The sequence below is a fragment of the Homo sapiens genome, chromosome 8, assembly GCF_000001405.40.
Source record: "Homo sapiens chromosome 8, GRCh38.p14 Primary Assembly".
NCBI lineage: Eukaryota > Metazoa > Chordata > Mammalia > Primates > Hominidae > Homo > Homo sapiens.
Window position 1 is genome coordinate 130,431,129 of NC_000008.11, and position 15,621 is coordinate 130,446,749.

At 49.1% G+C, this 15,621-nt stretch overlaps 1 protein-coding gene across 13 annotated transcripts in view, besides 4 other annotated features; it reads right to left on the bottom strand.

The window, feature by feature from the left end:
- Positions 1 to 12,546, bottom strand: part of ASAP1 (ArfGAP with SH3 domain, ankyrin repeat and PH domain 1) — a 391,571-nt gene extending 379,025 nt beyond the window's left edge. For 11 of the 13 annotated variants that reach the window (XM_047421810.1, XM_047421806.1, XM_017013468.2 and 8 more), the window contains exon 1: positions 12,332 to 12,546. The gene's annotated coding sequence lies outside the window, so the exon portion shown is untranslated. Of the gene's footprint in view, positions 1 to 9,160; positions 9,215 to 12,331 lie in introns of those variants that run through there. The other 2 variants (NM_001362924.1, XM_047421805.1) reach the window with 2 other exon arrangements.
- Positions 12,101 to 12,180: a silencer, noted in NCBI's record as "silent region_19551". NCBI's record gives its function as "represses an Ori minimal core promoter by ATAC-STARR-seq in GM12878 lymphoblastoid cells {active_cell/tissue: GM12878}" and the evidence as "EXISTENCE:reporter gene assay evidence [ECO:0000049][PMID:35858748]".
- Positions 12,231 to 12,390: a silencer, noted in NCBI's record as "silent region_19552". NCBI's record gives its function as "represses an Ori minimal core promoter by ATAC-STARR-seq in GM12878 lymphoblastoid cells {active_cell/tissue: GM12878}" and the evidence as "EXISTENCE:reporter gene assay evidence [ECO:0000049][PMID:35858748]".
- Positions 12,401 to 12,490: a silencer, noted in NCBI's record as "silent region_19553". NCBI's record gives its function as "represses an Ori minimal core promoter by ATAC-STARR-seq in GM12878 lymphoblastoid cells {active_cell/tissue: GM12878}" and the evidence as "EXISTENCE:reporter gene assay evidence [ECO:0000049][PMID:35858748]".
- Positions 12,531 to 12,630: a silencer, noted in NCBI's record as "silent region_19554". NCBI's record gives its function as "represses an Ori minimal core promoter by ATAC-STARR-seq in GM12878 lymphoblastoid cells {active_cell/tissue: GM12878}" and the evidence as "EXISTENCE:reporter gene assay evidence [ECO:0000049][PMID:35858748]".

Sequence of the window (15,621 nt, forward strand, 5' to 3'; positions counted from 1 at the left end):
CCATCCCCCCTCCAAATGATCCCCATGCCAGCCAATCCTACTGCCTCCCCATCTTCCCTCCCAGACTCCTGTAAGAGCATCAGAGCTGGCCTTCCTGCTTCCAGACCCTGGCATCAACCACCTAATCTATTCAGTCCAATGTAGCCAGAGTCACCTTTCCAACAGGCAAGTATCACATGACCCCCCTGCCTTAAGCCTTCAGTGGTTCCTCAGCGGCTTCAAGATAAAGTTCAAGCTCCAGGATATGGCTCCTGCCTCCTGCTCTGACCTCAACACATCCTACCTCAAACGTTAGGTTCCAACCATAACGAACCACTTGTAATTTCCAGCACATACTGTGCTATTGGTACCATTCACATCCTTGCTGAGGCTCCCTACACCTAGAATTTCCTTCCCTTCCTTCCATTCTTTACTGGCTGGTTCCTATTCGTTATTTAAGATTCGGCTCAAGGATTACACCTTGTAACAAGTCTTCTCTGACCCTCCCTGCAAGGTGGAGTCAGGCACCTCTTCCTAAGTGCCCATTACATGTTATGTTCCTGCAGGACCACACTAAACATGCTGGCTCATAATTATCTGGACATGTCTGGCCCCCATTCATATGAGAGGTTCCAGGATAGCAGAGTATGCAGCACAACAGCTGGCAAATGGTAGGCACTTAATACAGAAAGACAGAGACAGAAGGGGAAGAGTAGGGAGAGGTGAAGGAGGAAGAAGACGAGGAAAGGAGGAAAGGGAGGAGTAGGAGGGGGAAAGGGGGAAGATAAGGAGGGGGAAATGGCGAGGAGGAAGAGAGGAAGGGAGAGGAGGAGGAGGAAAGGAGGAAGGAGGAGGAGGGGGAAGAAGGGGAAGGGGAGGAAAGAAGGAGAGGGAGGAGAAAGGGGAAAATGGGGAGGAGAAGGAGGGGGAAAATGAGGTGGGGGAAGAGAGAGGAGGAAAGGAGGAGGGGGAGGGGGAAGGGGGAGGAAAGGGAAGAGGGGGAGAGGGAAGAGGAGGAAAGGAGGAAGATGGGGGAACAGAGGCAGGAGGAGGGGAGGAGGGGAAAGGGGGAGAAGGGAGAGAGGGAGGAAGGGAGGTTGAGAAGAGGACGACAAATGTTACGGGTACTCAAAGAAGAAAATAATCACAATAGTAAAGACTGGGAAAGGCTTTTCAGAGATGGTGCACCTGAGCCATGCTTTAAATAATAAGTTGGGTTTTTGGCAGATGGGGAAGGTAGGGAAAGGGCATTTTGGATGATGGGAACAGCAAGACTGTGAAAGTATAAAGGTTCTTCATTTTGGAAGAGAATTCAAACAGGGTGGTTGGCTAAAGCCTAGGGTGAATGAGGAAAGTGTAGTGAACCCAGAATCTTCTAGATGCCATGTGAGTTGTTCATCCCACTGTGCATTCATTAAGGTGTTTTTTAGTTACAAATAACAGAAAACTCCCATCAGAATAGTCTAAAGGTAGGTGCTTGGTGTCTCATTCCTTCCATTTTTCTGCTCTGACACCCTCAACACATCCTCCCTAAGCTAGGCTCCCTCATGGTCCCAAGATGGCTGCCACGGTTCCAGGTATCACATGCTAACCCCAGTACGTCCCACAAAAGAAGAGGGGCTTTTTCTTCCTACATGTCTCTTTTTAAGATGCAGAAAAATCTTTCTTCACCCCCACTGCCAGGCAATTTCCCTTCATATTTCACTGGCCAGAGCTCTGTCAGTTGCCCACACCTAACCCAATCACTGCCAAGGGGAATAGGACCCAGTGATTCACCCACTGGAGGGTGGACATCTGAAGATCAATGTCCTGCCAGCAAAAGAGAAGGGGAAAAGATGTTGGGTAAGCAACCACTGTCTGCTACACCTGGTCGCTCACTCGCCCCCGCAGTATGCTGCTCAACAGAGTGTAGACTGCAAATATCCCACATCTCCACCCTGCTGCCATTCTATTTTAGGGCTGAGGAAGTAACTGTCCTACGAGAGGAAACTTGCTAACAGCTATTATGGGAAGGTCTATAAACGACACCATAGTTTGCTTTTCTAGATCAGGAGTTCTGTATCAGTGGAGGCATAGGAAGTAGCAGGGATGACTGCATTTCAGACAGAAGCCCCAAATGCCATTTTATTTTAACTAAGAGTTTCACCTTTCTCCTTGAACACATTTTCCTTAGACCTCCCCAAAAATAGCCAGCACATTCCTACCACAAAGCCTTCGATCCAGCTATTCTCAGCCTTGAATACCCTTCCCTTCTCTCCTCACTTAGGGAAATCCTGCCTATCTTGGAAGAGTAAAGCCCAGACACCTCTTTCACAAAGCTTTCTCTGACTACCCCACTGGGAGGACTCTCTCCCTTCCCTATACAGCTATGACTGTTCCTTGGTAACTCTCCCATGCTGTTGAGTGACACTGGTGCCAAATTATTAACAGTTACATATCTTTCTCTTCTATTCAACTGGAAGGTATTCTAGCAGGTGGACTTTGATTTTTCATCTTCATATCCTAAGTGCTTGGCATATAGCAGGATATGCAGGGAAATCTGTGCAATGAAAACTCTTAAAAGTGAATTCACTCTTTCATGCTTCTTCTCCCTACTGATCATGCAAATGAGAATTCTTATCTCATTTTGAAACCCACTAATTTTTGTTTAGTACCAGTTACGTGCCAGGCACTCGCTTAGCCACTTTCCTTATATATTGCTTTATTTGACACCCTTAAAAAACTGTGAGAGTTTTCACAATTTACAGACTAGAAAACTAAAGCTTAGGCAGGCTAAGAGAAAGGCTAAAAGCAGACTCTTCCAAGGCCACATGAAGAATTAAGGCGTGGAATTAAAATTCAAGTCTGTAGAGGCAATATTGTATCGTGGTCAAGAGTATGGGTATTGAACACAGATCGCCTTGCTTAAAATCTTGCCAATTACAAGGGCCAAGCATGGTGGCTCACACCTGCAATTCCAGCACTATGGAAGGCCAAGGCAGGTGGATCACTTGAGTCCAGGAGTTCGAGACCAACTTGGGCAACACAGCAAAACCCCATCTCTACTAAAAATACAAAAATTAACTGTGCCTGGTGGCGCACACCTGTGGCCCCAGCTATTAGGGAGGCTGAGGTGGGAGGATCACTTGAACCTGGGAGGATTACTTGAACCTGGGATTGCAAGGATGCAGTGAGCTGCCATAGCGCCACTGCACTACAGCCTGGGAGACAGAGTGAGACCTTGTCTCAAAAAAGAAAAAAAAAATCTTGCCACTTACTAACTATATGACCTCAGGGAAGTTAGCTAGGCTCTGCGTATTTCAGGTTCGTCGTATATAAAATGGGAGTTAGAAATAGCGCCTATTTCATAGGGTTATTATGAGGATTAAATGAGCTCATAGAGGAAAACTGCTTACAACAGTAATGACACATATTAACGAGCAATACATAATAGCTATCACTATTGATTCCAAGTCCAGTGGTTTTCCCACAGCATCATGACAAATGCTCCTACCCTCCACCCGCCAAGTCACCTTAGGCAGGAAAGAATGACCTAGCCAAAGGACAGCCCACTGGAGGGGTCATGAGAACCACTGGCCAGAGGAGGAGCCGCAAAGAACAGTGGGTCAAAGATCACAAACGCAATGACATGCAAAAATTCCATCCCAGAACGGCTCTCTGTGACGGCTCGGCCCATATTGATGAGGTCCTGAGGGAACTTCTAGGGGAAAGGATATCACATGAGACAGGAAGCAGGTCAGCTCCCCAGTGCCCAAATACTGACCATACACCGAACAATAGCCCCTTAGCTCGAACAAGCTTTGAAGACCTGAAATGCTTACAGCCCATCCCCTGAAAACCCAGTGCCCACAGTGATTACAGGGCGAGGTGAAGGAAGTTCCCAAGGCAAGATGGCTGCTAGAAGGCACGTTGGCTGCTGGAAGGCACGCTGTCCCATCGGCCTTGAAGACAAGACTGACCCCTTACCCCTCCGAGGCTCCTACACTTCCATACTCATTATCGCGCTGTAACCTGGCGGGGAGGGTGACTCAGGACAGAAGCTACCATCCCCTTTACGCAGGTGGGGAACTGAGGTCCACAGAGGATAAATGGCTACTATTTGAGGTCACATAACTAGTCAGTATCCATTCCAAACTAGAATTCAGGACTTCTGAGTCTCAATTCAGTGATATTCTTCAGCATCTTAGTAAGTCTTTTGCGTCAGCATGCGTATTCTTCAAGCACATGCATTTTCTTTCTTTCTTCTGAAATGTTTATTGTCTTCCCTGTGCTAGACTTGGTGCTAGGCACTAGGGATTACAGAAATGATCAGGGCCCTACCACTGCCCTTGCACCTCCAGCAGGCACTGCAGCAGGTGAATGCACAGGACGCACTCAGTAAGTGCTTGCTGATATGAATCCAATTGTCTCATTACTAATGTTCTGTTACAGATTTCAGTTCTTTCTCCAAAAAGGCAATTTTTACATTTTTATAAATGTTCTTTCTTTTCCTGGTCTGAAAAAGAAGACTGAATATTAAGCTAGCTGGTTGCAACTTGGTGTCTCCCAGAATTAGAGGAGAACTGAGACCCCTTTATAAAATCAGGACCCTCAAAGAGATCAAAATCTAAATGATTTGATCTCTAAAATGAGGGCCTGAATTATTCCTCCCATCAGCCCAGAGAAATGGCAAGAAAGCAGGATCTGAGTAAGGAAAAAAGGCTTCCGTGCAGATTTTAAAGCCTCTGGGTGTGACTGTGGAATCCACCATACACCATTGGTCTGGGGTCAAAATATGGGCCCAGAAGCTCCCATAGAAACTTTTCCAGGACCCAGGAAACACTTAGGGCCTTTGCTGAAGCATAATACTGCTCTGTGGAGACATCTCTGCTACCCAAGATAGGTGGGGCTCTCCTGGGGCATGAGCCACTAAGCCCCCAAACCAGAAGACACAACAAATGGGAGAACTGGCTCCTCTAGAACGAACCTAGAGCAATGTGAAAGAGAACATTAGTATATTTAAAATGAAGATATAAAACACAAAACAGAAACCCTAAGGAAAGAAAAGGACCCAAGGATGGAAGGGCAGGCTGAACTGAAAGAGAACTAAGAATTTCTAAAAGTAAAATGTATAGTCATTAAAATTATAAACTCTCACCTGTAATCCTAGTACTTTGGAAGGCTGAGACAGGAGGTCCGCTTGAAACTAGGAGTTTGGTTTCTTTTGAGACATGGTCTTGTTCTGCCACCCAGGCTGGAGTGCAGTGGCACAATCTTGGTTCACTGCAGCCTCGACCTCCCTGGGCTCAAACAATCCTCCCACGTCAGCCTCCCGAGTAGCTGGGACTACAGGAGTGCACCACCATGTCTGGCTAATTTTTGTTATTTGTTTTTTGTTATTTTTGGAGAGGTGAGGTTTCACCATGTTGCCGAAGCTGGTCTCAAACTCCCGAGGCTCAAGCAATCCACCCGCCTTGGCCTCCCAAAGTGTTGGGCTTACATGCATGAGCCAGTGCACCTGGCCATTGAAGCCAGAAGTTTGAGACCATCCAAATATAAAAAATGAATAACCAGGCAAGGTGGCTCATGCTGGTAATCCCAGCAACTTGGGAGGCTGAGGCAGGAAGATCACTTGAGCCCTGGATTAGAGGCTGCAGTGTGCTATATTTGTGCCACTGCACTCCAGCTGGGGCAACACAGCAAGATCCTATCACTTAAAATAATAATAATATAAAAAATTAGGCTGGGAGTGGTGGCTTACTGTGATCCCAGCACTCTGGGAGGCTGAGGCAGGCGGATTACCTAAGGTCAGGAGTTCAAGACTAGCCTGGCCAACATGGTGAAACCCCATCTCTACAAAATACAAAAATTAGCCAGGCGTGGTGGAACATGCCTGTAATCCCAGCTACTCAGGAGGCTAAGGCAGGAGAATCACTTGAACCCGGGAGGGAGCAGTTGCAGTGAGCCAAAATCACACCACTGCACTCCAGCCTAGGCGACAGAGCAAGATTTCATCTCAAAAAAAAAAAAAAAAAAATTAAAAATTAAAACTCGATGAAAAAAGTTCAACAAATGTGGTAACACAGCTAAGCAGCTGAAGCCAATATACCTGACTCAGCCCCCTTGTTCAGTGCCTGTCATTTGCTGGGCACTGTGCTGGGCACAAAGGGCCAAGAGGAATAACATAGAGTCCCAGTTCCCAATCCCCTTCAAGATGCCCCAGCTCACAGGTGAGGAACTATATGAGCAAACACATTTCCCTGCAAGACAGCTGTAATAACGGCTACCATCTACGAGACCCTTGTGCTGGCTGCTTTTCTTACATTATCTCAGTTAAGTCAGTATGGTCAGTGCAAAAGAGAAGGACAGGTGGTGACTACAGTAGACCCCAGAATCTTCTGGTTTTCCCACCCACCGACCATTCCACTGAGCCATCCTGCATCCCCCAAGGTCTCAGGAGAGAACAACTATAATGGAATGCCTGGGCACCCTTTTTACATTTCTACTCAAAAGGAAATTATTTAGATAGATAGACTAACTACAATGAAATAGGCACACAGTGTTGTTACACACAGGACAAGTTTTTACAGAGGCAGAAGCCTTGACCAAAAATTCATGATTGGTTTTGAAAGAGGAAATGTCAACATCCCCCAGAAGCCGCGGGTGGGCGCTGTCTTGACGCCCTTCTTCCTGTTGTGCCCACGGCTGATCCTCCCCAGCTGGCTTCTGCGTAACTCCCACCACAGCTGGGGAAGTACTGACAGGCACTCTTCTTTATCCCAAACCAGGCTCCAACCAGGATCCCGCCACTGGAGGGACATACTTACTTTTGTTTTCCTAACTCTGTGCACCTTCGCACTTCCTGACTTAGGGCAGTGAAGGAAGAGGAAACACCAAAAATATTACAAGACAAGCTTAGTTTGTGGCATTTCCAAGAGATGGGAGCTGAAGGGGCTGGCAGGGTGACCCCAGGCAGCAGACGCCCTCAGTCGCTTTGTAACTCAGCTCGTCGGTGGCCAAGAGAGCTCATGTGCCTCTCCAAAGTGCTTAAGGTCTCAAGAAACCGTCTGTTTCTGGGGAGGATCTGGGACAGGAGCCCATTTTCTCTAAATAACTGAGAGGACTTCAGAAATCTGGTATTAATTACCCCTCGCAGCAACGTGGCTACACAGCACATCATGGTGTGTTTCCTTTACTCTCAGAAGATGGGGCCACCAGTGCGCCAGGCCCTCCAGTTGCTTCTTCCCCTAAGGACTCAGACGGATCTGTCCTAATCGAACCACACACTCCCTCCTGACCTCTCCTGGGGCCAATGGCCTGCTCTGGGAACAGGGCTGGCTGAGGTTAGGGACCTGGCTGCAGCTTTGGAACAAGGTTTTAGCCATACAAAAGGAACAACTGTAGGGATGCGTGCTGTGCTAGGAAATGGACTGGGGGCAGACTCTGAAGTCAGAGGACCCAGCTCACACCCTGCCCATCCCTTCCTGGGAGAGGACTTGGGGTACGAGGCGGGGAGCTGGTAGAGGGTTTGCATGGGTTGGTAAATTTAATTTTTTTCAAGAGGCTGGGTGAGAAATTAGTGTCCCTGGGTTGAAAGTGAACAATCGGGCCGACAGCTGAAGAATGCACAGTGAAATAAATCCTCAACTCCAACTCTCCACGGAGGCCTGGCACAGAGAAGAGCTCTGACGAAGGAGTGACTGTGAGGACACAGTGGAGGCTGACTCCCACAAGTGCATCACTACAGCCACGGTAAGATGTCCCTGACCCTCTCTTCCCCATGGGTTAGGAACCTCTCCCCAGAGCTCCCGTAACACCCTTCTTTCCCAGGCTGCAAAGATATCCTCATCCTAATCCCCAGGACCTGGGAACACATTAGGTTCCATGAGTTACATGGCAATGGAAAATGAAGGTTGCAGATGGAATCAAGGTTGCTAAGCTGTTGACCTTAAAATAGGGAGAGTAGCCTAGATTATACAGGTGGCCCAGTGGAATCACTTTAAGGGTCCTTCAAGGTGGAAGAAGATGCCAGAAGGGAGAATCAGAGAGATGGAAGCTTGAGAAGGATTAAGACCAACACTGCCGGCTTTGGAGGTGGAAGAAGGAAACCACAAGCCAAGATATGCAAGTGGCCTCCTGATACTGGAAAAGACAAGGAAACAAATTCTTCCCAGCGCTGCCAGGAGTAACATCCTCTGCTAACACCTTGATTTCAGCCCAGTGAGATCCATTCTAGACTTCTGACCTCCAGAACTGTAAGATAGTAAACTTGTATGATGTAAACCACTAAGTTTGGAGTAATTTGTTACCGCAGCAATAAGAAACTAATACACTATCATTATGCTTACCCTAATGTAATGCAATTTTTATTTATATGTCTATCACCCCCATCAATAATAATAATAATAGCTAACATTTGTCGAATTTACCCTTACTGTGAGCACTTATTATCTGGTAAGGCCAGCACCAAGTGTTTCATTCACATAAGATATTAAAAAAAAAAGGGTAACTTCAGTTGAACACACAATGAAGGTAAACACAGGGACTTAAGAGTAGGGGAGGGAGTTAAAAGCATCTTCGAGGAGATAAAGACACAGGTGCTTTTTAAAGATGAGTAGCAATTAGCCTGGGAGAGAGGAAGAGCATCCCCCGCAGGGGGAAGAACGTAAGCAGACACTCAGGGAAATGAAACACAGGGCATGTGCCGGCAAGCACTCTGGCAGCTCCACAGCAGGCTGGTAATAATGTCTCTAGCCTGTAAGTCTCCTCGGAGGTCCAGGCCTCCTGCCTGCCTGAAATCTCCACAGGATGCCTCCTAGACATCTCAAATTTAGGATGGCTGATACAGAACTTGATTTTCTCCATGAGCATAATCCTCCTAGTCTTCCTGTCTCCCACAACAACGCCACCATACACCCAGCTGTTCAAGCCAGAACCCCAGGAGTCACCCTTGAGTCCTTTCCCTTGCCTCATTCCAATGTAATCTATCACCAGATCTCATCAATGCTATCTCCAAGATCTAAGTAGGCTCCTCCCACTTCTCTCTACCTCCATTGCTGCTGTCCAGTTCTAAGCCACCATCCTCTTTCCTCCTAAGTGGTCTTCCTGCTTCTACACTTTGCCCCCTATGATCCATCCACTTTTCATAAAAGCAGTCAAAGCAATCTCAAAAATGTCCATCAGGCTGGCCATGGTCGCTCACCTGAGGTCAGGAGTTTGAGACCATCCTGATCAACACGGCGAAACCCCGTCTCTACTAAAAATATAAAAATTAGCCAGGTGTGGTGGTGCATGCCTATCATCCCAGCTACTCAGGAGGCTGAGGCAGGAGAATCACCTGAACCCAGGAGGCAGAGGTTGCAGTGAGCTGAGATCATGCCACTGCACTCCAGACTGGGCAACAGACCTAGACTCTGTCAAAAAAAAAAAAAAAAGAGTCAATCAGATATCACTGCTGAGCTTAAACTCACCAAAGCTTCCCTTTGTACTGGGTGGAGGGACTCTCCCCAGCATGGCTTAGAATCGGCTGTGTGATCTCGTCCCTGCTTCCCTCTCAAACCTCACCTTGCGCCATTCCCCCCATCTCTCCCTTACACTCTAGCCCTGCCTTCCCTCACTCCTTGGAATACACCAAGCTCTTTTGTGCATAGTCAACTTTGCACATTCCCATCCCTCTGCCTGGAAGGCCCTCCCCTGCAATCTCTCTGCCTGGCCAGTTCCTTCTCCATTTTCCAATCTCAGAAAGGCTTTCCCTTCCAAAACTAGGACCAACTTGTGCCACCAGCCCCTACTTTGGTCCCAGGTTTGTTTCCTTGATAACAAGGAATCACTCATCTGTTAGAGGTTGTTTCTTCTGCTTCTTCCTTGTTGCTCATCTCCTCCAGAGGAATGCAAGCTCCAGAAGGGCAGTGCCAGGTCTATTTCGTCCACCACTGTATCATCAGGACTCCACACAGGGCTTAGCATGGCGCAGGTGCTCAATGCATGGTTGTTCAATTGATGAATTAAAAGAGAAAGTGTGAGGCTGACATTGAAAGATGAGGCTGGAAATAGAAGGCCTTGAGAACAGGGTCCTATTCATCTTTGCAGGACTGGCACCTCCCACAGGGAAGCCACTTAGCAAATGTTTCACTGGATGCATGAAAGAAAAACTCGATTCCAGATAAATCTGAGATGTGCTGTCCTTTCTGGGCAAGGCTCCCCAAGAAGTTTCCGCTCCTCCTTAGGACTTCTTAGGAGGTAACATGTCTAGGGCATACAGCAAGTGCTTAATAAATGGGGTGACTGTTACTATTGCTCACGTGGGGATCACTCATGCAGTCTCCTAGAAAAGACCTTCCGGAGCCCATGCCAGATACAGCAGTGGTTGGGTGAAAAAACGGCAGGGAAAAATGAGAACCGAGCAGCAGGATCCAAATACGGCTGAGACCTAGGTGGGGAAATGGCAGGAACAACACTGTCCTAGCTAACTGGGGTTCCCTTCTTTCCTCTAGACTTCAGTCACCTAGGTGCAGCATGGAGATGCCAGCTGGGACGTGAGTCTTCACAAGGGAGGGCTCAATCTGAATGCACACATTCATCTTTGGGCCTGCCAGGCTTGCACTGATTTTGAAAATCTGGCTCGCTGTGGCTGGTGAGGACTGGGGAGGTGTAGAGAATTTCAATTTCCCTCACCAAATGGCAAGCTTGCGAAAAGTCCTTTCTCTCCAACATTATCACATACTAAAAATGAAAAACCAGCCATTCAGAGCTCTCATGAGAAAAATAGATGGGCTGCTTAGCTCACAAGAAACAGGAGGGCTGAAAATCAAGTCTAGAGAACATCAGAGGGTACATTATGTGCTAAGATACTGCCCTTTTTTGGACCTGGGAGTTTCTATTTTGCACAAAAGAATGGGATAGGGAAAGTAATTCCCCGTATAATAAGCCACTCATTTTATACTTCAAATCCATTTGGTAGCTGAATCTCCAAATCCACTTAGTGGCGTTAGGTGATTTTTGTTTTTTTTAACTCCCTATCTCAAAATATGCAGTTTGAAATAAGTGCATATCTCAAAAATAGCAGCATTAACAGGACAGAAGAGAAGGCACTAAAGTGGTGAAGGCTGTGACGCAAAGAAGACGTTTCCAAATCTGTTTCATGGCTAACAGATCAAAATCTAACACAGAAGGGGCATGGGACTGAGCCTGAAGAAGTGGAAACTACTCCTGGCCATGTGATCTTGGGCAAGTCAGGTCACCTTTCTGGGCCTTCTCTGAAGGGGGTGAATCAGTTGTTCTCAAAGATCTTTTTCTTTCCAAACTGTTCACTGGGTGTTTCCAGAAGACCCGCATTTTCTTAAAGCTATCTGGCCGCGCTACAATTGCAAAACAGAAAGGCTTTGGGATGAAGGTTGCAATACAGATAACCCTGGCCTAAAAACTGATAAGCTTTTACAATCCCAAAACATTACTCAGCAATCCAGGTCCTGATGTCATCCCAGAATCAATCACGCCAAGATAACCTAACAGAGTAGACAGGGGAAAATGCGAGAGAAAGTTCTTTTGCTTTCCTGACGAGTACAGGTAAAGTTGAGGTCAAGTTAACGATGATGGTCTGCAGTTGACCATCCTTCTCCCTGAGCTACTGGAAAACCACATTATTAAAGGAAACTGCTTTAGAAGTGCCCAAGATGAACCTCTTGGGATGTATCAAACCGCAGAAAACCGGACACCGGCAAGTTTCTTTTTTCTTTGAAACTTCATGTCGCTCTCAGAAAACGCAGCAGGTCCCAAAATGGTACAAGCAGAAAACACAAGCCACTTCACGGTCCGCCCAGGAGCCAACCCCAAGCTCCAAGTAGGACTCCCCCCACCCCCTTCCCTTTCGTTTCTCTTCTTTTGCTTTAGGCAAGTGGCCTGGGGCCTGCCAAGCAGCGCCGGGTCCGGGTAGGGGCCGGGGGCCGCGGGGAACTTTCCTCGGCTGCACCAGAGACAATGCCGGGAGGGCGCCCCATCGGCGGGGTCCGGGCCGCCAAGCACGTCGTCCCGGGCCCTCCCCCGGAGGGGGACGCGAAACCCCCCAGGGCGGGCCCCGTCCCCGGCCCCACTGCAGGGGCCCCCTCTCCCGAGCTGGAGGCGAGGAGACCTCCCCCCCCCACCGGGCGGCCTCGCCCGGCCCCGCAGAGCCTGGCCGCGCGTCCCGCACACGCCCCAGCCCAGGGCCGGCGCCCTCCCCGCGGAGAAGGACACCCCGCTGCGAGAGGAGCCGGGAGCCCGCCCCGCGCCCCGTCCCGGCGCCCTTCTTCGCGCGAGAGACTGGGCAGGGGGCGCCCGCGACTGTGGGCGACTCCGCCCGGCCCCGCCGAGCGCGCCCGAGCGCCCCGCAACTCACCGGGACCTGGCGGGCCGCTGGGCATTATTCCATCGCGGGTTCGGCCGGGCGCTCGCGGCTCTCGGGTGGGAAAGCGAACTGCGACCGGGAAGCGCCGGCTGGGCGGGAGGCGCGGGCCCGGGGCTGCCCAGCGCACAGTGCTCGCCCGCGGCAGCGGCCAGGCCAGGCGAGGCGCGGGAGCCGAGCGCGGCGCAGGAAGGGGCGGGCGACCATGTGCCGAGGGGGAGGAGGCCGCGGCGACGCGAGCGGCTCGCACGATCCCGCTCGGCGGCGGAGGGCGCGGGTTTCAGGAAATCCAAACACTTCGACAGGAAATCGGAATCCTGACTAAGCATTCCCGGCCCCGAGCCGCTCCGCGCCGGGGGCTCCCGCCTCGCTTAACCCTTGGCCCGCCGGCAGCCACGAGGGGGGCGTGGGAGGGGCCCCAGACCTCGGCCGGGGTCGGGCGTCCTTCGCCTTCCGCCCCATGCCCCGGCCGGCCGGCCTCCTCCCCGCCTGAGGTGGAAGGGGTGGGATTTATCCACAGAAAACCCTGGACGCGGAAGGTGCCTTTCTAAGGCCGGGACAGCGGCAAAGGACGTGCCTGTCTTCCATCTGCAGAGGATGGACCTGCACTGTCCTGGCCGTTACCCCTATTTTCAGTAAAGGAATGATTTCACCAGGCTGCCCCCTTTCACCACTTCCTCTCTGCTCTTATAATTTTATTTTTGCCCAGTGCCAAGGGAACAGGACCTTCCCAGTCAGGATAGTATAGGAACAGTATGGAGAGTAATTGTGTGGGCTGCAGGCTCTGTGTCCGGTTGGAATATGGCCTTTTTTCTACTCATGTTACCTTGAGTAACTCGCTCAACTTTCCTGAGCCTCAGTTTCCATTTATGAAATGGATGTTAATTCCACCCTCATAGGTTTGATCTGGAAGCTGAATGTTTAGACAGGGACTGGCACATTGGAAACGCCCAAATAAATGATAGCCATGCTTGTCCTTATTATTACCATTAAAAGACATCAGAGAAAGGAGGATTTTAATTTGTGGGATGTATATTGTGCATATCTATGTCTACTTTCAAAGTCAGAGACAGTAGTCTTTCTTTAGAACTTAATTTCCCTCCTAATCATTGGGTGATTGTTTTTCTTTGCAGCATTTCAGAAACGGCTCTCTGCAGAGGAAATGGTTAGTGGCTGTGGCAGACCCCCTTCTGGTGAAATCCGAAACAGAAAACCTCACAAAATTTGGGATTTTGCTCCTAATCTGAGAGTCTGGGTGTAGTGGGGAGTGGGGGTTGTTAAACAGTCTGGAGCGGATTTACAAAGTTTGGGAAAACCAAAATCAATCTCTGACTGGGCAGAGAGGTCGGGCAGCCAATGAGTGATTCATTGTGGTTTCCCACGGAAATGCCACATTTCGGGGGTGTCTACCTGGAGGATGCAGCTTGGTGGTTTTGCTGTAAGTGTTTCAGATTCCTTTGAAACCCAATCAGACTTTGAAGAGGGAACAACATGCTCATGAGCGAAAACAGAAGCCTGAAATGAACCTGCTGGGAACTGAAAGTTGGGTACCAGCTCGTTTACTCCAAGTAAGGAACAGATACCAGTTTTAGACCCAGCATTGTTCCTTTTCTGCAATTCTCTCTCCGTGGCCAGAAGCAGTAGGACAGCTCTGAGCTGGGCACCAGGAGTCCCAGGGTCCTGCTCCAGGCCCACTGTAGCTGCCGTCCCCTCTGCCTGGAAGAACCCTTGTATGGCTGTTCTTGGCACGCAGCTCACAGCCCAGAAGTCAGCTCCGCAGATAGGTTTTCCCCAACCATGTGATCTGCTTGTCTCTGGCACCTACACCCCACCTCCACCTCTCCCAAACATAGCGCATCCTGTTTGATTGCTTCATAGCCCTTGTCACTGTTTAATGTAGCCTACATGATTGGTTGCTTATTTTTTATCTGCCCCCCACTCTCCCCACTGCATGGGTAAACTGCATTACAGCAGTACCTTTGCCTGTTTCCTTAGAACAGTGCTGGCCCATATGAGACCATCGATAAACACGTGTTGAATAAATGAAAGAAGCAAACAAACTAGAGTTGCAGATGGGACCTCTGCCTGAGGTAGGGTGGTTCACTCGGTCCCGCAGCTCCCTGTGGCTTCCTCTTTGGTGGAGAGATTCAAAAGGGAACGCCCAGTGCGGTGGAAGGAGCACCAGATGGCTCTATTAGTGCTTCTGGAAAACTAAAACTATAAGTAGGCCAGGCGCGGTGGCTCACGCCTGTAATCCCAGCACTTTGGGAGGCCGAGCAGGTAGATCACCTAAGGTCAGGAGTTTGAGACCAGTCTGGCCAACATGGTGAAACCCCGTGTCTACTAAAAATACAAAAAATTGCCGGGCGTGGTGGTGGGCACCTGTAATCCCAGCTTCTCCAGAGGCTGAGGCAGGAGAATCGCTTGAACCCGGGAGGCAGAGGTTGCAGTGAGCTGAGATCATGCCATTGCATCCCAGACAGGGTGACAGAGTGAGACTCCGTCTCAAAAAAAAAAAAAAAAAAAAAAAAAAAAAAAACCTAAGTAATTAAGACTGTCAAATGAGGTAACTATAGTCTCATTGGTATAGTCCCAGTTAATTACTCCCTCCTTTGTGCTTCCTTGGCATTTCTGTTTAAAGAATATATTTGTCATATTGTATACTCACTAGATGACTGTTCTCCTAAATCAGATGGAGGAAAGGAGTCCACATTTGTTGACCACTTGCTCTGAGTGGGTCCCTGAGCAAGGTGAACTTGAATTCATTTTAAGGCATCGGTTAAGTGCCTGTAATGTGCTAAAAAAATCTGGGCCCTACATGTGCAATGATGAAAAAGAACTATTCTTGCTAAGAAAGACAGGAAAGCTCTATCTAGTAAGCAGAGAGATAAGTACTCTTATAGAGTCATGTCCAGGGTATCCAGGGCTATTCAGAACATTGAAGGTGGAGTAGGGTGGAGATAAGTTGGAAAATGCTTCCAAGAAGTGGGTGCTCTTGAACGAACTTTCAAGGAGGAGATGGGACCTATGTAGCTAGATAAGGGGGCACAGGCCTGCCAACCAGAGTAACAAGCGTGAGTGTTAGTGATGCTCGGCTCCATGTCCCCTGGGCCCACCTCTGAGCTCACCGGCAGCTGCAATGAGCTGCCCTCTGTACAGAGAAACTGTCTATCCAAAGCAGGCCCCCTTTCTCCTCTCTACCAGGAGGCTTTCTCAAGGGCTGTGGGATCTTGCCTAGCCTGGAAGTTTCCAACAGCCCTGGGTCAGTCCTTAACCAAACAGTG